This window comes from Homo sapiens, chromosome 11 (assembly GCF_000001405.40).
Source record: "Homo sapiens chromosome 11, GRCh38.p14 Primary Assembly".
Classification (NCBI taxonomy): Eukaryota; Metazoa; Chordata; class Mammalia; order Primates; family Hominidae; genus Homo; species Homo sapiens.
Genome location: NC_000011.10, coordinates 5,393,789 through 5,417,785, shown reverse-complemented (window position 1 = coordinate 5,417,785; position 23,997 = coordinate 5,393,789). Strand labels below are relative to the sequence as shown.

Here is a 23,997-nt window from a genome sequence, read left to right as displayed (position 1 = left end):
TCCAGCACCTGTTGTTTCCTGACTTTTTAATGATTGCCATTCTAACTGGTGTGAGATGATATCTCATTGTGGTTTTGATTTGCATTCCTCTGATGGCCAGTGATGGTGAACATTTTTTCATGTGTTTTTTGGCTGCATAAATGTCTTCTTTTGAGAAGTGTCTGTTCATGTCCTTCGCCCACTTTTGGATGGGGTTTTTTTTTTCTTGTAAATTTGTTTGAGTTCATTGTAGATTCTGGATATTAGCCCTTTGTCAGATGAGTAGGTTGTGAAAATTTTCTCCCATTTTGTGGGTTGCCTGTTCACTCTGATGGTAGTTTCTTTTGCTGCGCAGAAGATCTTTAGTTTAATTAGATCCCATTTGTCAATTTTGGCTTTTATTGCCATTGCTTTTGGTGTTTTAGACCTGAAGTCCTTGCCCTTGCCTATGTCCTGAATGGTAATGCCTAGGTTTTCTTCTAGGGTTTTTATGGTTTTAGGTCTAACGTTTAAGTCTTTAATCCATCTTGAATTAATTTTTGTATAAGGTGTAAGGAAGGGATCCAGTTTCAGCTTTCTACATATGGCTAGCCAGTTTTCCCAGCACCATTTATTAAATAGGGAATCCTTTCCCATTGCTTGTTTTTGTCAGGTTTGTCAAAGATCAGATAGTTGCAGATATGCGGTGTTATTTCTGAGGGCTCTGTTCTGTTCCATTGATCTATATCTCTGTTTTGGTACCAGTACCATGCTGTTTTGTTTACTGTAGCCTTGTAGTATAGTTTGAAGTCAGGTAGTGTGATGCCTCCAGCTTTGTTCTTTTGGCTTAGGATTGACTTGGCGATGCGGGCTCTTTTTTGGTTCCATATGAACTTTAAAGTAGTTTTTTCCAATTCTGTGAAGAAAGACATTGTTAGCTTGATGGGGATGGCATTGAATCTGTAAATTACCTTGGGCAGTATGGCCATTGTCACAATATTGATTCTTCCTACCCATGAGCATGGAATGTTCTTCCATTTGTTTTTATCCTCTTTTATTTCATTGAGCAGTGGTTTGTAGTTCTCCTTGAAGAGGTCCTTCACATCCCTTGTAAGGTGGATTCCTAGGTATTTTATTCTCTTTGAAGCAATTGTGAATGGGAGTTCACTCATGATTTGGCTCTCTGTTTGTCTATTATTGGTGTATAAGAATGCTTGTGATTTTTGTACATTGATTTTCTATCCTGAGATTTTGCTGAAGTTGCTTATCAGCTTAAGGAGATTTTGGGCTGAGACAATGGGGTTTTCTAGATATACAATCATGTCATCTGCAAACAGGGACAATTTGACTTCCTCTTTTCCTAATTGAATACTCTTTATTTCCTTTTCCTGCCTAATTGCCCTGGCCAGAACTTCCAACACTATGTTGAATAGGGGTGGTGAGAGAGGGCATCCTTGTCTTGTGCCAGTTTTCAAAGGGAATGCTTCCAGTTTTTGCCCATTCAGTATGATATTGGCTGTGGGTTTGTCATAGATAGCTCTTATTATTTTGAGATACGTCCCATCAATACCGAATTTATTGAGAGTTTTTAGCATGAAGGGTTGTTGAATTTTGTCAAAGGCCTTTTCTGCATCTATTGAGATAATCATGTGGTTTTTGTCTTTGGTTCTGTTTATATGCTGGACTACATTTATTGATTTGCATATATTGAACCAGCCTTGCATCCCAGGGATGAAGCCCACTTGATCATGGTGGATAAGCTTTTTGATGTGCTGCTGGATTCGTTTTGCCAGTATTTTATTGAGGATTTTTGCATCAATGTTCATCAAGGATATTGGTCTAAAATTCTCTTTTTTGGTTGTGTCTCTGCCCGGCTTTGGTATCAGGATGATGCTGGCCTCATAAAATGAGTTAGGGAGGATTCCCTCTTTTTCTGTTGATTGGAATAGTTTCAGAAGGAATGGTACCAGTTCCTCCTTGTACCTCTGGTAGAATTCAGCTGTGAATCCATCTGGTTCTGGACTCTTTTCAGTTGGTAATCTATTGATTATTGCCACAATTTCAGCTCCTGTTATTGGTGTATTCAGAGATTCAACTTCTTCCTGGTTTAGTCTTGGCAGAGTGTATGTGTCGAGGAATTTATCCATTTCTTCTAGATTTTCTAGTTTATTTGCATAGAGGTGCTTGTAGTATTCTCTGATGGTGGTTTGTATTTCTGTGGGATCGGTGGTGATATCCCCTTTATCATTTTTCATTGCATCTATTTGATTCTTCTCTCTTTTTTTCTTTATTAGTCTTGCTAGCTGTCTATGAATTTTGTTGATCCTTTCAAGAAACCAGCTCCTGGATTCATTAATTTTTTGAAGGGTTTTTTGTGTCTCTATTTCCTTTAGTTCTGCTCTGATTTTAGTTATTTCTTGCCTTCTGCTAGCTTTTGAATATGTTTGCTCTTGCTTTTCTAGTTCTTTTAATTGTGATGTTAGGGTGTCAATTTTGGATCTTTCCTGCTTTCTCTTGTGGGCATTTAGTGCTATAAATTTCCCTCTACACACTGCTTTGAATGTGTCCCAGAGATTCTGGTATGTTGTGTCTTTGTTCTCGTTGGTTTCAAAGAAAATCTTTATTTCTGCCTTCATTTCGTTTTGTACCCAGTAGTCATTCAGGAGCAGGTTGTTCAGTTTCCATGTAGTTGAGTGGTTTTGAGTGAGTTTCTTAATGCTGAGTTCTAGTTTGATTGCACTGTGGTCTGAGAGATAGTTTGTTATAATTTCTGTTCTTTTACATTTGCTGAGGAGAGCTTTACTGCCAACTATGTGGTCAATTTTGGAATAGGTGTGGTGTGGTGCTGAAAAAAATGTATATTCTGTTGATTTGGGGTGGAGAGTTCTGTAGATGTTTATTAGGTCCGCTTGGTGCAGAGCTGAGTTCAGTTCCTGTGTATCCTTGTTGACTTTCTGTCTCGTTGATCTATCTAATGTTGACAGTGGGGTGTTAAAGTCTCCCATTATTAAAGTGTGGGAGTCTAAATCTCTTTGTAGGTCACTAAGGACTTGGTTTATGAATCTGGGTGCTCCTGTATTGGGTGCATATATATTTAGGATAGCTCTTCTTGTTGAATTGATCCCTTTACCATTATGTATTGGCCTTGTCTCTTTTGATCTTTGTTGGTTTAAAGTCTGTTTTATCAGAGACTAGGATTGCAACCCCTGCCTTTTTTTGTTTTCCATTTGCTTGGTAGATCTTCCTCCATCCTTTTATTTTGAGCCTATGTGTGTCTCTGCATGTGAGATGGGTTTCCTGAATACAACACACTGATGGGTCTTGACTCTTTATCCAATTTGCCAGTCTGTGTCTTTTAATTGGAGCATTTAGTCCATTTACTTTTAAAGTTAATATTGTTATGTGTGAATTTGATCCTGTCATTATGATGTTAGCTGGTTATTTTGCTCATTAGTTGATGCAGTTTCTTCCTAGTCTGAATGGTCTTTACATTTTGGCATGATTTTGCAGTGGCTGGTACCGGTTGTTCCTTTCCATGTTTAGTGCTTCCTTCAGGAGCTCTTCTAGGGCAGACCTGGTGGTGACAAAATCTCTCAGCATTTGCTTGTCTGTAAAGTATTTTATTTCTCCTTCACTTATGAAGCTTAGTTTGGCTGGATATGAAATTCTGGGTTGAAAATTCTTTTCTTAAGAATGTTGAATATTGGCCCCCACTCTCTTCTGGCTTGTAGAGTTTCTGCCAAGAGAGCTGCTGTTAGTTTGATGGGCTTCCCTTTGAGGGTAACCCGACCTTTCTCTCTGGCTGCCCTTAACATTTTTTCCTTCATTTCAACTTTGGAGAATCTGACAATTGTGTGTCTTGGAGTTGCTCTTCTCGAGGAGTATCTTTGTGGCGTTCTCTGTATTTCCTGAATCTGAATGTTTGCCTGCCCTGCTAGATTGGGGAAGTTCTCCTGGATAATATCCTGCAGAGTGTTTTCCAACTTGGTTGCATTCTCCCCGTCACTTTCAGGTACACCAATCAGATGTAGATTTGGTCTTTTCACATAGTCCCATATTTCTTGGAGGCTTTGCTCGTTTCTTTTTATTCTTTTTTCTCTAAACTTCTCTTCTTGCTTCATTTCATTCATTTCATCTTCCATCACTGATACCCTTTCTTCCAGTTGATTGCATTGGCTCCTGAGACTTCTGCATTCTTCACATCGTTCTCGAGCCTTGGCTTTCAGCTCCATCAGCTCCTTTAAGCACTTCTCTGTATTGGTTATTCTAGTTATACATTCATCTAAATTTTTTTCAAAGTTTTTAACTTCTTTGCCTTTGGTTTGAATTTCCTCCTGTAGCTCGTAGTTTGATTGTCTGAAGCCTTTTTCTCTCAAGTCATCAAAGTCATTCTCTGTCCAGCTTTGTTGCATTGCTGGTGAAGAACTGCATTCCTTTGGAGGAGGAGAGGTGCTCTGCTTTTTAGAGTTTCCAGTTTTTCTGCTCTGTTTTTTCCCCATCTTTGTGGTTTTATCTACTTTTGGTCTTTGATGATGGTGATGTACAGATGGGTTTTTGGTGTGGATGTCCTTTCTGTTTGTTAGTTTTCCTTCTAACAGACAGGACCCTCAGCTGCAGGTCTGTTGGAGTTTGCTTGAGGTCCATGCCAGGCCCTGTTTGCCTGGGTATCAGCAGCAGTGTCTGCAGAACAGTGGTTTTTCGTGAACCGCGAATGCTGCTGTCTGATCGTTCCTCTGGAAGTTTTGTCTCAGAGGAGTATCAGGCCGTGTGAGGTGTCAGTCTGCCCTACTGGGGGGTGCCTCCCAGTAAGGCTGCTCTGGGGTCAGGGATCCACTTGAGGAGGCAGTCTGCCCATCCTCAGATCTCCAGCTGCATGCTGGGAGAACCACTGCTCTTTTCAAGGCTGTCAGACAGGGACATTTAAGTCTGCAGAGGTTACTGCTGTTTTCTTGTTTGTCTGTGCCCTGCCCCCAGAGGTGGAGCCTACAGAGGCAGGCAGGCCTCCTTGAGCTGTGGTGGGCTCCACCCAGTTGGAGCTTCCCGGCTGCTTTGTTTACCTAAGCAAGCCTGGGCAATGGCGGGTGCCCCTCCCCCAGCCTGGCTGCCGCCTTGCAGTTTGATCGCAGACTGCTGTGCTAGGAATCAGCGAGACTCCGTCGGCGTAGGACCCTCTGAGCCATGTGCAGGATATAATCTCCTGGTGGGCAGTTTTTTAAGCCCGTTGGAAAAGCGCAGTATTCGGGTGGCAGTGACCCGATTTTCCAGGTGCCATCTGTCACTCCTTTCTTTGACTAGGAAAGGGAACTCCCTGACCCCTTGCGCTTCCCGAGTGAGGCAATGCCTCGCCCTGCTTCGGCTGGCGCACAGTACGCTGCACCCACTGACCTGCGCCCACTGTCTGGCACTCCCTAGTGAGATGAACCTGATACCTCAGATGGAAATGCAGAAATCACCCGTCTTCTGCATCGCTCACGCTGGGAGCTGTAGACTGGACCTGTTCCTATTCAGCCATCTTGGCTCCTCCCGGTTCGATGCTTTTTAATGCTTTCACTGTTAATGCTTCCTGGAGCCCTGAAAAGACCAGGCATCTAGGATTTACTCAAGAAGATATAGTCATATTCTGGCAAATGATTTGCATATCAGAAGGACTACCATATCTGTAAAGATCCACAGAGTGTAATGTCCCTTGAGCAGAGAAGCTTGAATTTGAGGAGGAGGAGAGAAAGGTCTGTGCTGTTATATTAGTTTTCTGTGGTGACCAGAGCAAATTACCTCAAAAGTGATAGCTTAAAACAACATTTTTTGTTTTTTAATCTTAGAGTCCGTAGTTCAGAAATCTGAAATAGATCTCACTGGGCTAAAATCAAGAGATTGGCTGGACCACCTTGCTTTCTCAAGGCTTTAGGGAAAACCCATTTTCTTGCCTTTTCCAGCTTGTAGAGGCCAACCACATTCCTGGATTTTTAGTCAATTTCTCTCTCTACAAAGCCAGCAACTTCAGGCTGAGTCCTTCTGACATTGCCTTTTCTCTGGTACACTTCTGCCTCTTAGGACATTTCCCTTCAAAGGACACTAGTGATTATGTTGGGCTCACTTGATTATGCAGGACTTTCACCTTATTTTAAGGTTTGCTGATCAGCAACCTTAATTCCATCTGCAGCCTTAACTGCCCTTTTCCATGTAAACCAACATATTCAGAAGTTCCAGGGATTAGGATGTGGACTTTTCTTACAGGGGTGGAGACATTATTTGGTCTACCACAATTATGTTCCTTTTAATCATTCTGAATTCCCATGAATGGGGACTTATTTCATTTTCCATTCATTAATGTATTATTAGAAATACAGTCATGTGTCACTTAGCAACAGGGGTATGTCCTGAGATATGTGTTGTTAGTCAATATTGTAGTTGTGCCAACATCATACTGTACTCACACAAGCCTAGATGGTACAGCTTACTACACATTTAGGCTATATGATGTAGCCTATTGCTCCTAGGCTACAAACATGTACATGTTGCTCTACTGAATACTGTAAGCAATTGTAACACAGTGATATTTTTGTATCTAAACATATCTAAACATAGAAAAGGTATAGTAAAAAATGCTACAACAGATAAACAATGATACACCTGAATAGGGCATGTACCATGAATAGAGTTTGCAGGACTGAAAGTTGCTCTGAGTGAATCAGTGAGTGAGTGGTGAGTGGATGAAAAGTCCTAGGACATTACTGTTTGCTATTATGGACTTTATAAACACTGGACATTTAGGCTATGCTGAATTTATAAAAAATAGTTTTCTTTCTTCAATAATAAATTAACCTTAGCTTACTGTATCTTTTCTACTTTATATACTTTAACTTTTTGACTGTTTTGTAATACAGCTAAATCCATGAATGCATTGTACAGTGGTACAGAAATATTTTTTTCTTTACATCCTTATTTTACACATTTTTTATTTTTAAAATTTATGTATTTGTTTTTACTTTTTAAACATTTTTGTTAAAAATTAAGACATGGACACACACATTAGCCTAGACCTACACGGGATCAAGATCATCAGTATATTGTTTTCCACTTCCACACATTGTTCCACTGGAGGATCTTTTGGACAATAACATACATGAAGCTGTCATCTCCTAGGATAATGATGCCTTATTCTTGAATACCTCCTGAAGGACCTACCTGAGTCTTTTTTACAGTTAACTTTTTTTTTCTAAGTAGAAGAAATACTCTCTCAAATAACAATAAAAGTAAAGTATAGTAAATAACAAGTGATAGGATTTTTCACTTTCATTATAATCTATGGAACCACTGTCCTATATGCAGTCCGTTGTTGATTGAAAAGTCATTATGTGAAACATGACCGTATTTTACTATTCTTTTAGTGATTATCTCGTAGATAACAAATTGCATCTTGACATCTTATCGTCTACTATAAATTACCATTTTTCAATTTTCCCAGTAATGCTAGATAGAAGCTCAGAACTTTAAAAACTCAAATGATATCTCTTTCTTTTTGCATGATTCCTGCCACAATTATAGTTCAAAGAATGTTTAAACCCCAATACAACATGAGTATTATTGTTTTTTTCAGTCAGTGTTTGCTTTCTTCTACATATTTACCTTTTCCGATGCTTTTAATTTCACTCCATATTTCTGTGCTTGTCTCTGGGTTCATTTTCCTTTTGACTAAAGAACTTATTTGATATAACGCAGGTTTGCTGCTAACAAATACTCTCAGTATTTGCTTATCTGAAAACTTCTTTACTTTTTCATTTTAAAAGAATATTTTCACTGTGTATAGAATGGGATGTTGGTGGTTATTTTACATATATAAATCTATTATCTTTCAGTGTCTTACATTTCTACTGAGAAGCCAGCTGTTTGTACTATTTTTGATCATTTAAAGATGAGACATTTTCCTCTGACTGACTTCAGTGTATTTCTCTTTGTTACTGGTTTCTGTTAATTTAAATATGATATGCTTATTCAGGGCTTTCATAAACTATGTGGACCTTCTTGGATATATGGATTGATGCGTTTTACCAGTTTAGGGGAATTCTCAACCATTATCTCTTGAAATAGTGCTTCTGTACCTCCTTTTCCTCTATTGTTTAAGTTTCCATGAATGTTACATTTTTAAAATATGTCCTACATGTATTTCACGTCTTTATATTTTCAATTTTTGTGCTTTATATTTTCAATTTTTGTGCTTTCATTTGGCTATTTCTATTGACTTGTTTTTCTTTTCTTGGAAGAGCTTTCTGTTGCCTTTAATATTCTTTTAAATGCATTTATTTTGATAGATTTTTTTTTAGTTCTAGAATTTGCATTGAATTATTTTTTAATATTTTCCGATTCTTTGGTGAATTTTTCCATTATTTCATCAGCTTTTTCCCATTTTCCTTTACTTTTTGAAAAATACTAATTGGATTTACTTTAGTTAATTCAAAGTTCTTTTCTGTTCTGCTGGTGTGTCTTTTTCCCTCTGTCTGGGCAAAGCCCATATCCTCATCCTTTTCCTCTTGCAGAGAATTGACATATGCCTCCAGGGAAAGAAAATGGCTCTAGATGTCAGTTTACCTCTCCAAGGTTCTCCACTCTCCAGAATCTGAGAGGGCAACCTGTTGTTGCCCTTGCTTCCTAGCTTCCTAGCTTCCTAATGCCTTTGAACACACACAGACACACACAGTGATTTTAAAATATGACTTTTCTAGTTATTTTCAGCAGGAATATTGGTCTTCCATAGACTACAACATCCTGCTTAGAAGTCAGGGCATCCCTTTTAAAAAAGGTTAGTACCACCAAGAACATACCTATAGATCAACAAGTTGGGTTTATTACTTTTAGTGATGAAGAATGCACAACATTTGGAATTAGGAGGGTGTTACAAAAATATTATTATAGGTTATGGGCTTGTTTTTGGTGATTTTGAGGAAGGCTTAAGGATTTGATGCTTTTCTATGAATTAAATGCTTTCAGGAAGTAGGGGAAATTTTCCTTTGATAACTTCATAAATCTTGTCTACAGAAAGTGAGATTAAGGCTGAGTTGATAATAAATCTGGAGTCACTCTCATTAACTGAGGGGGAGTGCTTGGTGTTTTGAGGCTTGGACATTGTTTATGTTTGGATTATAAAATGGTCTTTTTTTTCTGGATACATTGTGATCACAGGCTGGTCTTGTATGTTATTGACATTCTGAATGGTTTATATTTAACAAAAGAACACCAAACTTTAGCTGTGAGTGCCAGACCAGTCTCTAGCTAATAGCACCAGACCACCAATTGGATGTCATGAATGACTTCTCTTGTTTTAATAAATAGATTGAGAACATAAGGAATTAGAACAGTTGCTGTGACTGCTGTATTTTTTCCAAATTATATCCAAGGCCATTGCAGGAAAACAGCAAAGGAAGAAAAGGAAGGAAGGAAAGAAGGGAGAAAGGGAGGGAGGGAGGGAGGAAGGGAGGAAGGGAGGAAGGGAAGGAAGGAAAGAATTTTGACAGTGTTAAGCTAGGAGGTTTTTCCTAATACATGGGATAAAATAAGATATCACTTAGAAAGCAATTATTGGGATAAAATTAAAGGATGAGGAAGGGACTGGAGTGAGCAAGGAAGAGTAATAATCATTATAGATGGATGAAGCAGCTTGCTGTAAACAGTGAAAGCTAATTTGGAACTGCAGCAAATGAAAGATATTTGATATTGCTGTAGTTCAGAGAGAAAAAGAGTGATGTAAGATGTAGCTTCAGGGACGGTCAGTGAAAAATTGAAAAAGGTATCATAAGCCCTGTGAAAATATGTTTTTGGGGAGGGAAGCCAGAATTATTGAAATATAGACTGAAAGTGAATATTTTCAAAATATATTCTCTCAAATCTTTTGAAATTTCAAGCATGTGAATGTTTAACCTTTGTCAATAACATTTTATTAAAATGTGGATACAAAATTAATCATTATTGATAGGAAAAATGGCAGAGAGGAAATATATGGTAATTAAAAATAAATTATTTGCTTATTTGAAGAGAATGAAGGATATTTTGAATAACATTGAAATTTATAAAGTACAGATATTAAAAGTGTACCCATGAGAATAGAAGTACAGTTTATAACTCCAGAATAAACAGGGGAAATAATAAAAAAAAAAAAACTGATGGAAGACAGAAAAGGAGAAAAATGTGTAAATCAAAATATGTAAAGCAGATAAATTGAACACATGTATTTATTCAGGTATTAATACAACTATTAACTCATGGTGAATAGCATAATGTGTGAGAAATCAAAAGCGGGTGAGAAATCTTCAAAAAATGAAAATGGGAAGCACATGGATGTGTGTGACAACTGATTTTGCAGAGCAAAGAGATATAGAGCCCAACTGATTACAGAGGAAGAAGTGAACAAGAAACCATGCAATTCTGCGAAGTCAGAAAGTTTCATGTATTTAAGGCAGCTGAAACTCAGGAAGAGGGGATGATACCATGTGGAACTCAATGCAAAAGACTTAGTAAAAGTCAATGTGTAGAGATTCACTCATCACCACACAGGCAGGTGATTATTATTATATGCTTTTTAATTGGCATAGAATATTCATAGATAAAAGTGTCCATCTTCTAAGTATATAGCTCAAAAATTATCACAAAATGAATATATCCTGTACCCTCAATACAGATCAAGAAATATGCCCCACAGTACTGTCAGTTTTGGTAGGCATTCTCCATGCACTTAAAAAATGGGTAGTACATAATTGTTATTTTCTTGCTTTTTAATTATTAATAAGATCAGTATTTTTAATGATGTTTTTCAAATCTTTTAAATCATTAATTTTGTGGTTTTGGGCTAGTTGTGTTATTTACTAGAAAAGGTGTAGTACAAATTTTCACTGTCATTATGCATTTGAGTACTTATTTTTGTAGCTCTGACAGTTGTCTCCTTGTACTCCAACCCTCTGAGTTTGCTGTAAGCTCTTCTTATTTACTCATCTATTACTTTTAAATTGATACATTCCTTAAGGGAAAAAATCTCAATAAATATCAGGCTCACTTCTCTAGGCTTCCCTTCTCTTTGGAATCTTGATCTTTACATCCTCATTGCCTTGAATGCTCTCTCAAGTCATTTAAAACTATTTCTATATCTTTTCTAATTGTTCTTGGCAGGAGAATTGGCTTGAAACAAACTCATATTCACTGGATAAATGTGAAAGTGTTTATTTAGTGTCCTAATTTTTAATTTAGCTCCATGCTTAGCTGAATATAACGACTTATAACTTTGTCTTGTTGAGAACATAAAACGTAGTTCCAAAGGTATAAATTTTAAGTTAGCATAGAATATAAAGGTAGAAAATCCCAGGGAGCCATCAGATTCTGCTTATTACACAATTTCATAGACACCAAGAGATTCCAAGATTCTTTTCACTGTGTGATTTTCTAGGATTCTTCCTGAACCTGATGTTGTCTCTGAGACTGGACTTCAGGATAAAGATTGGAAAAAATAGAATTGGGAGGAGCATTACATATAAAGAAATCCATTCTAGAATGAAGCCGAAGATATTCAGTAAATTGGCTATAATCTGAGAAACATCTAAGGAGAAGTTATCTTTACAGAACTTCAGTATTTCCAATGGCCATACATTTACTAAATATAGCAATAATATTTAAGAAGGCTGAGAATTCACTATGCAATCTCAGAAAGAAAATGGAAATGACTTCCTAAGATTCTCATTTTATGTTAAGCCATTTAACAATCTGGTCCTAACGTCTTTTCCTGTACCTCCCTAGTTGTGGGACATCTTTTTACAGATACTCTAATGTTACTCAGATGTTTCTTCTCTTCTCATCTCAGGAAATAATCACTGTCTTATTTATCTGGCCATTGATGAAATGATTCTTCTTGTGGATTTACTTGCTTGGTTTCCATTGATAATTTGGAGGCATTGTCCTCTATGGAGTTGTGTCACCTATCAGCGGGCTATTAATTTAGGGTATGGTTATAGACAACTGCAGATCCCCAGGTCAGAATCTCTAGAAACAGGATACATGGAAACCTGGAGGCAGACTCACACCATTAACTGTGCAAGAAATTAAGACTTCTTGTAAAAGCACTCTTTGTCAATTATTGACATCTTTACAATGCAGAATGCAAGCAAACTATTTAAAATGTTTAAATTTATATTCAGAAGCTTTATAGGTGTGTCGTTATTTGTATAAGAAGCATTATAAGGCCAATTTAAAAGTTTTTTCTAAACAACATTCCAGAAAGTGAAATGTACAGCAGAGATAGAGAATGTAGAAAAAAAAAAAAGTTCTTTCTAAGTTCTTTGAGTGGAAGAAACCTTGTATCTTTTGTCACTGCTTTATCTCTAGGGTCTAGAAGTATACCTGACTCATTGAGTATGCTCAATAAATTCTACTTGACTGACTACTAATGAGATCAAAGGCTTTATTTCTTGCTTAGTTGACATAATTTAGGCATTAAGAGCTCAGACTCTGAAGTCTTACCCAGGTACATTCCAATGCTAGGTCTTAGATGCATAGATTTGAGCAAGATGTTTACTGTATGTAAACATCAGTTTTTCATCTGAAAAGTAATAATTACATTAATCCTATTTCTTAGAGTTGCTATAGGAAGTGATGAAAATAATAAAGTTCTTAGTATATATTTTATGTTAAAAATCTTAATTTCTTTCCCTGAAAATGTAAGTATAAACGCTTTACATCATTTTAAATGCCTGCAAAAGAGCATCCAACAAGGTAGAAAATATGAATGTCTACAAAGAGGATGCTTGCCTCTTTAAGAGTTTCTGCAACGGTGGGTTCTTGGTCTTGGTGAATTCAAGAATGAAGCCGAGGACCCTCAAGGTGATTGTTACAGTTCTTAAAGATGGTGCGTCCAGAGTTTGTTCCTTCAGATGTTCAGATGTGTCTAGAGTTTCTTCCTTCTGGTGGGTTCCTGGTCTTGCTGACTTCAGGAGTAAAGCCGCAGACCTTTGCATTGAGTGTTACAGCTCTTAAAGATGGTGCATCTGCAGGTGTTCATTCCTCCCTGGTGGATTCGTGGTCTCGCTGACTTCAGGAGTGAAGCTGCAGACCTTCGCAGTGAGTGTTATAGTTCATAAAGGTAGTGCAGACCCAAAGAGTGAGCAGCCACAAGATTTATTGTGAAGAGCAAAAGAACAAAGCTTCCACAGCGTGCAAGGGGACCCCAGGTGGTTGCCGCTGCTGGCTTGGGCAGCCAGCTTTTATTCCCTTATTTGGCCCCGCCCACATCCTGTTTCTTGGTCCATTTTACAGAGCACTGATTGGTCCATTTTACAGAGTGCTGATTGGTCCATTTTACAGAGTGCTGATCGGTGGGATTTTACAGAGTGCTGAATGGTGTGTTTACAAACCGTTAGCTAGACACAGAGCACTAGTTGGTGCGTTTTTACAGAGTTCTGATTGGTGTATTTACTAATCTTTAGCTAGACACACAGCGCTGATTGGTGCATTTACAACCCTTTAGCTAGACAGAAAAGTTCTCCAAGTCCCCACCCGATTAGCTAGACACAGAGTGCTGATTGGTGTGTTTACAAACCTTTAGCTAGACACAGAGAACTGATTGGTGCATTTACAATCCTTAGCTAGACAGAAAAGTTCTTCAAGTTCCGCCCCCCGCCCTCCCCGCCCCATCCCCTCCCCCCGCCCCCGACCCAGAAGCCCAGCTGGCTTCACCTCTCACAACCTGGATGGGAGAATCCCAGAATTTTGCATAATAAACAAGATTTGTAGTCTTCAAGACTTCCAAGTTGGGGCCTTGGTGAGGTTGGGTGAATGCCACATCATAGCCTGTAGTGGAAGCCTCCTTTGAACTAGCTGGTATGTTTCTCTCCTATTGAATTCAGAGAGCAATAACTGAAGACAATGTAATACATTTCACTTCCTCTCTTCCTAGCACAGAGGGCTCAATAGATTTCCCATTACACCTTCTAACTCCCAGGTGCCTTTTCCTCATTAGGAGTGCTGTGTTACAATCTTTTCTGCATTCCTGCTCCAGGTATGCAAGGTAATGAAGAAAACCTCATACCACATGTTTTAAAAAAGCCTCACTTTTGTGTACTGTTCTGTCACACATAATTCACCTCTACCTGCACCCTCACCTCAGTTCATGGACAGACTATAGAGAACTTCCTGTTAGACGCCATGTTTTAAGGTGATATCAATCGCATAACATGCAATCTAGGGCCACCTGTTATTATAGAGAGCAAGCAAACAAACAAAAACATTTCTTCCTACTATGGTTTTTGGCTACACTCTGCGTCTTTTCTCTAATAGCATTCGGACAATGGCACCATGGATCTCCTTGGTCTTAATGCTGTAGACAATAGGATTGACAACAGGTGGGAAGAAGAGGTAGGCATTGGCCATCATGGCTTGCAGCAGAGGGGACACACGATGTCCAAGGCGGTGCACTATAGACAAGCCAATCATAGGCACATAGTAAGCAAGCACAGCACAGACGTGTGAGCCACATGTGTTGAGTGCCTTCTTCCTCCCTTCTCCAGTGGCAATACCCAATACAGTGTGGAGTATGAGCCCATAGGAGATCACAATCAGCAACGAATCCAGCCCAAAAGTAGAGGTAACAATGAAAATCCCATAGATATTGTTAACAGAAATGTTCCCACAAGATAGATAAGATTGGGGTGCAGACAATAGGAATGTGAGAGGGCATTGTGGCCACAGAAGGGCAGACGCCATAAGAGAATGGGCAACGGAGCCATGAGCATAATGCTTTTCAGTACGATAATAGCTCCTGTGCCAAAGACCCTGGGCAGTGTCAGGATAGCTGTGTAGCTCAGTGGGCTGTAGATGGCTATAAAGCGGTCCAAAGACATGGCCAGCAGCACAGCTGGCTCCATCATGGATAAAGAATGGATGGAGAACATCTGGAAAAAGACAAGCTTCAAGACTAATTTCAGTATTTCCAAAAAGGAATATGCCTAACACTGTAGGCAGGGTGGATGCAGAGACACGAACCTCGGCCAGTGCCAACATGGCAAGGAAGAGGTACATGGGTTGATGTAGGGCAATATCTGTTCTGATGACGTGAAGAATGATGCCATTCCCAAGGAAAATGATGATGTATATCAGGGAGAAGGGGACGGATATCCAGAGGTGCTCTGACTCCAGCCCTGGGATGCCAACCAAAATGAAAGTCGTAGGTAAAAACCCCAAAGAGTTATTAGAAATTTTCATGTTGACATATCATCCTCAGGGATCAGTGCCACCTTGAAAATTAGAAACAAACTAGTGAGATGACATCATTATGAAGAAAGACAACTGGGCACTGAGGGAAGGGAAGAAAAAAGCAAACTCACAGATTTATGTGGCCAAACTTCTTATTTCTAAAAACTGACAAATGACCACCATCAAGAAATTTCCAGTATGGAGAGTGCTACAGCTTCTGTCATAGGCAGATAGAAAATTATGTTCTAGAAAATTATATTACATTATAGGCAGAAAGAAAATTATGTGTCTGATCAGGTGCAGTGGCTCATGCCTGTAATTCCAGCACTTTGGGAGGCTGATGTAGGCAGATCGCTTGAGCCCAGGAATTTGAGACCAGCTTAGGCAACATGGCGAAACTCTGTCTCTACTAAAAAAAATACAAAAATTAGCCAGGCTTGTTGGAGTGTGCCTGTAGTCCCAGCTACTTGAGAGGCTGAGGTGGGAAGATCACTTGGGCCCAGAAGGCAAAGGTTGCAGTGAGCCAGGATTGCACGCCTACACTTATGCCTGGGTAACAGCATGAGACAAAAGAAAAAGGAAGAGAAAAGAAAAGAAAGAAAAAGAGAACAGCAAGCGGGAGGGAGGGAAGGAGGAAAGAAGGAAGGAAAGAAGAGAGGAAAGAATAATAAAAGAAAAGGAAAGAAGAGAGAGAGAGAAAGAAAAGGAAGGAAGGAAGAGAGAGAAAAGGAAGGAAGGAAAAAGAAAAAGCAGAAGAAAAAGAGGGAAGGAAGGAATGATAGAAAAAGAAAGAAAAGAAAGATTATGCATTTAAGGTGTAGTGCACCTTGGATCAACTTAGAGAGAAATGACTGCCTTGAGTTGGTGTGGAGATGTCTGGCCCTAAAAAGCTGCTGGGGAGACAGAGAAATGTAAGCAATCCCAAAATAAGATATGGAATAATATCAGGAATAGGTGAAAATATTTTATTGGTAAATATACAAAGACAAGGTCTATAGCATGGTATATAAAAAGAGCTAAAAATTACCTGAAGAATGAATATAATTGTATGAATAATTAAGCAAGGCTGAGATAGTGGCAGTGGCCAGAGCCTGGAGCAAGTGGCAGAGAATTAAACTAGAAAAGCATAGAATTTGGACCCACACTGGGCTAGCTGTCCCATGTTTTGAAAATTCTAGGAGTCAACTAGAAAGATTATGTGCAAAGGCATGGAAGATTCAGGAAGGAGAAGGAACCTACGTTCGTGGATGTGTGTGCAGACTTTAAGGTTCATGAAAATATTCTGTCAACGATCACATCCACAATCTGTTGACTCAACAGTTCTCAAAGAAACTTACCTTATCCATTGGGACTTTTTCTTTCTAGCTCAGACACACTGCTGAATACACTACGGCAACAACAGTGGAAATCTAAACAGATTTTCAAGGATGTTCTTTTCCTGGGGAGGAGAGGAAGGCAATAGAGGGAAAGAGAAAACCACCTGCCTGGATTGGGTGTGTTTTGAGATAAGCATTGTCTAGGTCAGCAGTTATAACATTAGAATCCTAGACTAGCATGGTAGGAAGGACCTCTGAAGATTGTTTTCAACTCATTCACCCAAATGCACACAAACACACACAGACACACCTGCTTACCTATTCACACACGAACAAACATGCTTCCCGCATGTGCTGAAAATCTGATTCTTGTATGAACTTTCCATTCAGCCACTGCTGAACTTACGCATCAACAGGGACCTCACTATTCCGTAATGGTTATTATGAAGTTCTTCTTTGCTCTGCAGATCTATAACCAGTGAGCACACCTCTATGTCAAGGACCTTGCAGGACCAAGGCAACACAGAGTCCTAGACCTACTCAGAAAATCTCTGCAACTTTCAACCACAGCTCACAGAGAACAAATCTTCTTCCACAGATATTCAAATACAGTCGTCACCTATGCTGAAGTCTTATCTCCAAGCTGGTTGCAATTATATTAAGTACTACAAAGGAAATGTTCAAGATACTTTGAGAGGGTCCTAAAGGGAAAAACCCAATTTATTCTTAAAAGTCAGGAAAAGCTTTCCTTGGAAAGTGGCATTTCAGCTAAGACCTAAGAATTAGTAGAAAATTTCCAGGCTAAGTTGCATGCAATGTAGTGCAGGAAAAAAAAAAGAGGGGAAATTATCATGGCAGTGGCAGTGGGCATATAATATGGCACTTTGACAAAAACTAAAATAAAATATGGAGAAAATAAAAACTGTAGATGTAATAGGATATTAAAATAATTTATTTTTTCATATTTTTGCTATCATGAAAATATGGAAAGAAAAAAATTAATTGCCTGACTAAATAGACTAAATACAAGATCCTTGGACACTTACCATGCTCTGATACAACGTAACATAGTAGATTATCAGCTTAGGAAAAGCTCTGTGCTGTGGGCTATGTTAAAATGTAGGGCAGGGAAATTCAGGGGCAAATTATTGACCTTAACAAATGATCACACATCAGAACATCTTATGGCTGAAAATGAGAAACATTTCTCTTCTGCATTCTTATGCCCTTATGTTCCTTCCTCACCTCCAAAAGCTCAACATAGCCTTCTTAGTTCTTTAAATAGACCAAATATTGATCTGCCTCTGGATTGAGCAGCTGTTCTTCCCGTGTGCTGCCTTACTGAATCCTTGATCCCACTGCACCCTGTATCTTGCCTGCCACACCTCAAATAACCGGATATTGGAAGAAACAAATCTTGACTGATACTTGAAACTAGAGTCTCTCCTCCTCTGCCTTCTCTGCCTGTCTGTGGTCTCTTTTGTTTTCTTCCTTTTTTTTTCTTTCTTGCATTTTTTTTTTTTTGCATCCTTCTCAGTTTCCATCTCCAGAGTCTCTACCGCCAGATAAGGGTCAGATCTCCTTGAAAGAGATCTTAAAACACAATCATTCTCCTGAGTTTAGGATTTGTTTGACAAGAGCATTTTAGCTTGAAAGGTTACAAAAGGGATCATGTAGTCTATAGCCCAGTATAATAGGACACAACAAATCAGAAAAAAAGTAGAATGTGGGACAGTGATGACTGTACCCCTGGAGCTGGACAGAATTGGAGGTGAATCTTATGTTCGGTATAACTTTACGTACTTTACCTTTGTGCACATTAGTATCTTTGTTTTTAAAGATAAAGATGTTAATACTTACCTCAGGGACTGGCTCTAAATATTTAATGTGAGCCTTTAGCAACCAGTGAATGTTAATATTCTCTCCACTCTATATCTCTTTCAGGAATTCTCAGGAGTCAATCACAGTCAGCTTATTTCCAACTTTTTATTAATAATTGTCTTTCCTTGTTATTGGCTCACTGATACTCAGACCACATCTGTGAGGTAAACAAGGAGACAAGAATTTCCCACTTAATAGATGAGCATATAAACCAGACATAAGCATTTTGTGAGTAACCCAAGATAATATGATGGCAAAACTATTTCAAGAATTCATGATGTGCTCTGGTGTTTTTGTTTTGTTTTCCATCTGCCACCAATTTAGGATGTGATTCCTCTCCTTCTGCCAGACAGGTTCAAGAAGCTAGGGAGGTGACTACTGTCTTAGGAAAAATGCTAAGGGCTTCACACTGTGACATGGGGTTGGGAGTCCTGAATGCTGCTTCAGAAGGCAGGGCTTGGGGATTGTATTAGTTCATTCTCACACTGCTCTAAAGATACTACCTGAGACTGGGTAATTTATTAACAAAGGAGGTTTAATTGACTCACATTTCCACATAGCTGGGGAGGCCTCAGGAAACTTACAATTATGGCAGAAGGAGAAGCAGGCACATCTTACTTGGTGGCAGGCAAGAGAGAGTGAGCAAGAAGAGGGAAAACTGCCTTATAAAACCATCAGATCTCATGAAAACTCACTCAGTATCACGAGAACTGCATGGGGGAAACTGCTCCCATGATCCAATAATCTCCCACCTGGTCCCTCCCCCGACATATAGGGATTATGGGGATTACAATTCAATATGAAATTTGGGTGGAGACACAGAGCCAAGCCATATCAGGGATCATGGGCTTGTGCACTCACCACAAGTGAAACTGGCCTCTGAGCCTCAGGTGGGATGGGGAAGCTCACTTCAGCAAGTCCCTGCCACTGTGGCATTCATATCTTCTTAGTCCTGGGGCTGGAATGCTGCCCATTTTTTGAAAAAGCTGATCAGAGTCTCTAGGAGTAGAGTAATGGGGAGAAAGTTAGGTTCCCTGAGGAGCAATTACCCAGGTAATTACATTAGCCTCTCTCAATATCCAGAGAACCTAAGGGAAACAAGCAAAGATATAGAGTCAGTATCTTTGTGAAATGAGTGTAATAGTATTTATCCAGCATATTTAAATAACTAATATATGTAAATTTCTTTTTTCTAACTTATTTTTTGTTATACTTTTAAGTTTTAGGGTACATGTGCACAAGGTGCAGGTTAGTTACATATGTATACATGTGCCATGTTGGTGTGCTGCACCCATTAACTCACCATTTAACATTAGGTATATCTCCTAATGCTATCCCTGCCCCCTCCTCCCACCCCACAACAGGCCCCGGTGTGTGATGTTCCCCTTCCTGTGTCCATGTGTTCTCATTGTTCAGTTCCCACCTATGAGTGAGAACATGTGGTGTTTGGCTTTTTGTCCTTGTGATAGTTTGCTGAGAATGATGGTTTCCAGCTTCATCCATGTCCCTACAAAGGACATGAACTCATCATTTTTTATGGCTGCATAGTATTCCATGGTGTATATGTGCCACATTTTCTTAATCCAGTCTATCATTGTTGGACATTTGGGTTGGTTCCAAGTCTTTGCTATTGTGAATAGTGCCGCAATAAACATACGTGTGCATGTGTCTTTATAGCAGCATGATTTATAATCCTTTGGGTGTATACCCAGTAATGGGATGGCTGGGTCAAATGGTATTTCTAGTTCTAGATCCCTGAGGAATCACCACACTGACTTCCACAATGTTTGAACTAGTTTACAGTCCCACCAACAGTGTAAAAGTGTTCCTATTTCTCCACATCCTCTCCAGCACCTGTTGTTTCCTGACTTTTTAATGATTGCCATTCTAACTGGTGTGAGATGGTATCTCATTGTGGTTTTGATTTGCATTTCTCTGATGGCCAGTGATGATGAGCATTTTTTCATGTGTCTTTTGGCTGCATAAATGTCTTCTTTTGAGAAGTGTCTGTTCATATCCTTTGCCCACTTTTTGATGGGGTTTTTTTTCTCTTGTAAATTTGTTTGAGTTCATTGTAGATTCTGGATATTAGCCCTTTGTCAGATGAGTAGATTGCAAAAATTTTCTCCCATTGTGTAGGTTGCCTGTTCACTCTGATGGTAGTTTCTTTTGCTGTGCAGAAGATCTTTAGTTTAATTAGATCCCATTAGTGAATTTTGGCTTTTGTTGCCATTGCTTTTGGTGTTTTAGACATGAAGTCCATGCCCATGCCTATGTCCTGAATGGTATTGCTTAGGTTTTCTTCTAGAGTTTTTATGGTTTTAGGTCTAACATTTAAGTCTTTAATCCATCTTGAGTTAATTTTTGTATAAGGTGTAAGGAAGGGATCCAGTTTCAGCTTCCTACATTTGGCTAGCCAGTTTTCCCAGCACCATTTATTAAACAGGGAATCCTTTCCCCATTTCTTGTTTTTCTCAGGTTTGTCAAAGATCAGATAGTTGTAGATAGACAGCATTATTTCTGAGGGCTCTGTTTTGTTCCATTGGTCTATATCTCTGTTTTGGTACCAGTACTATGCTGTTTTGGTTACTGTAGCCTTGTAGTATAGTTTGAAATCAGGTAGTGTGATGCCTCCAGCTTTGTTCTTTTGGCTTAGGATTGACTTGGCGATGCGGGCTCTTTTTTGGTTCCATATGAACTTTAAAGTAGTTTTTTCCAATTCTGTGAAGAAAGTCATTGGTAGCTTGATGGGGATGGCATTGAATCTATAAATTACCTTGGGCAGTATGGCCATTTTCACGATATTGTTTCTTCCTATCCATGAGCATGGAATGTTCTTCCATTTGTTTGTATCTTATTTCCTTGAGCAGTGGTTTGTAGTTCTCCTTGAAGAGGTCCTTCACATCCCTTGTAAGTTGGATTCCTAGGTATTATATTCTCTCTGAAGCAATTGTGAATGGGAGTTCACTCACTGTTTGTCTGTTATTGGTGTATAAGAATGCTTGTGATTTTTGCACATTGATTTTGTATCCTGAGACTTTGCTGAAGTTGCTTATCAGCTTAAGGGGATTTTGGGCTGAGACAATGGGGTTTTCTAGATATGCAATCACGTCATCTGCAAACAGGGACAATTTGACTTTCTCTTTACATAATTGAATGCCTTTTATTTCCTTCTCCTGCCCGATTGCCCGGGCCAGAACTTCCAACACTATGTTGAATAGGAGTGGTGAGAGAGGGCATCCCTGTCTTGCAGCCTAGGCACATTTTCATTAGGCAGTGCAGTGTGGTTAAGAGCAGTGTCTCTGGGACCAGATCTGTATTACAATCATAACTTCAATAGCTCTTCACTCTATGATTGTGCAAAGTATCTGATTAATCTTAGTTTCTTCATCTGAAAAATTGAGACAATTCTACCTACTCCATAGATTAGAGAGCCATTCATATGCAATTTTAAATGGAGTACAGTTAGAAGCAAATACTCAATAGACACATTTTATTAGTTGTACTTTCCAGCATTCCAGTGAGCAATGTTGCAGTGAGCTCTAAGAAAAGATTGAAAAATAATCTGACAACAATGAAGCGTAAGGTATTTGGAGTGGGAAGCCATGAGCTCTTGCACAGGTTTTTGGACAATCCTTCCATATGGCTTTGGCAAAGTTACTGAATCTTTCTAAACCTTAGCTTTTTTACTATGTTGAAAGATTTCCACATGGGCCCTGCCTCTTTTCGAGAGAAATGATTAGGTTTAATGGGGCTGTGGAGGAAAGCACTCTGAAATGTTAGAAGCTTCATCAATTGGAGCAATTGCTGAGATTATGTTTCCTTGCCTGCCACAACCCTGTATCATTCTCTACAAGGCATAGCCCAGTAACAAGTCCAGATCTGTCTTCCCCATCAAAAACATCACGGGAGATATGATAGAACAGCAGCCCTAACAACAGATTGGCCATCTTCCTGGAAGCTGCCCTATTCCATAACCCTGCATATAGTCATGCTAGATAAGGGATATTAGAGAGGTCACTCCAATGACTTCCTTTATCCACAAAACAAAGGACCTTCAGCAACTTACTGGTCCTTTCTTCTCTGTAGCTTCTTTCTCATGCAGCCCTTCCACTCCATGCCAGCATCTTCCATTTGACTCAGGATGCTGTTCTACGTGGGCTGCACTGGCACTTATAAAGCTGTCTCTCTTCCTTGGGTCTTTGGCCCTCAAAGGAATCTCCCTAGATGGACGCAGACTTGATGAATGTCAAAGAGGGATTAGCATCCTCCTAGACCAAAGCATTTGAGATGCCCAGTTATCTTAAATGGAAATTTAGTGAACCATGAGTACCTCTAGGAGGTATTTCAGTGAGCCAGAGGATCCTTGACTGTCTTCTCTCCCCAGCTGCCAACTTCATAAGAAAATTTATTGGGTGCTTCTCAATCCTCTTTTTTGTCTTTCTTTTCTTTTCCCAGACAAAAGTCCCCTTGAGACAGTCTTTACAACCAGGTAGTTATTCACTGTCATTCACTGAGCAAGTATGTAAAGATCACAAGCTTTGGGTCAGATATTTGAATGCAAGCATTAATAAGACACAAACTCTGTCTTTCAGAAAGCATTGTCTTCTGCAGGAGGTTGATGTGAAAAAAACTAACGTCCCCTGATGAAGCAAAAACAGGCTTCCCAGGTGATACAAATATTTAGCAAGCTTTCCTTACTAATGTCTGCACTATCATTCAAAATAGGTAACATTTTAGATAGAGGGGAAAACATGTACAAAGGCTCAGAGTTGTCACAAAGCAAAACATAAAATTCTGTGAACTTCAATTACATGAGCCATCTGTGTTTTACAAATACAGTATCAATTTCAAAGGCTTAGAGAGGCTTGTGGATATTAAATAACGGGATAGTTGTAAAGATTTTTGCCTGCAGGAATATAGGCTTGTGCTGAGGAATGGGCCAGATGATTTAAAGCAGATACTGTCATTAGCAGGAATATGTACAGCTTTGGCTGATTTTATGTTTTTTTTGGTTTGTTGTTGTTGTTGAATCAGTGGAGCATAGTTAAAACTACAAGCACCACAGTCAGAACTGTCAAACTTGGTATAATATTGGGCAAGATATTTTGTCTCTGAGCCTCAGTGTACTTATCTGTAAAATGGGTAATCTAGTAGTATCCATCTCATAAGGTTATTGTCAAGATAAAGTGACTTATAGTGTATTATGCCCTTAGAATAATACCTAGGTTATAATATGTGCTTAAAAAACCATGATATGCAAAATAGAAGGTACTCAGTACCTTCTACTGAGTTTTTCTGTGAATCTATAACTCTTAAAATCAAGTCTATTAAAAAGTATTTAATACAATAATTTTATGTTACTGTTTTCTGTTGCTATCTTTTCCTGATACTAAATGGAAAAATAGATAACATATTCTAGGAAAGGGAACAAAAAGTTAGGGAGAAGCCAATGATGGGACTTCCTTCAGTATAACATGGAAAACATGGCCCTGAAACGAGTGGTCCTGTTTGGAGAGGAGTCCAGCATAATGGTTTAAGAAAATCAGATGCGCTTGATATTGAATTTCAGTTCTGACTTACATTAATGATTTAACTAAGGAAAGTTGCTTTCCTCTGT

The 23,997-nt window shown here is 39.0% G+C and overlaps 1 protein-coding gene and 1 pseudogene across 2 annotated transcripts in view; one reads left to right on the top strand and one right to left on the bottom strand.

Moving 5' to 3' along the window:
- The window catches only part of OR51B5 (olfactory receptor family 51 subfamily B member 5), a 165,335-nt gene that overhangs the window by 87,867 nt on the left and 53,471 nt on the right, over positions 1-23,997 (top strand). The gene's annotated exons all lie outside the window — the stretch shown is intronic.
- On the bottom strand, positions 14,239-15,189 carry OR51J1 (olfactory receptor family 51 subfamily J member 1; annotated as a pseudogene).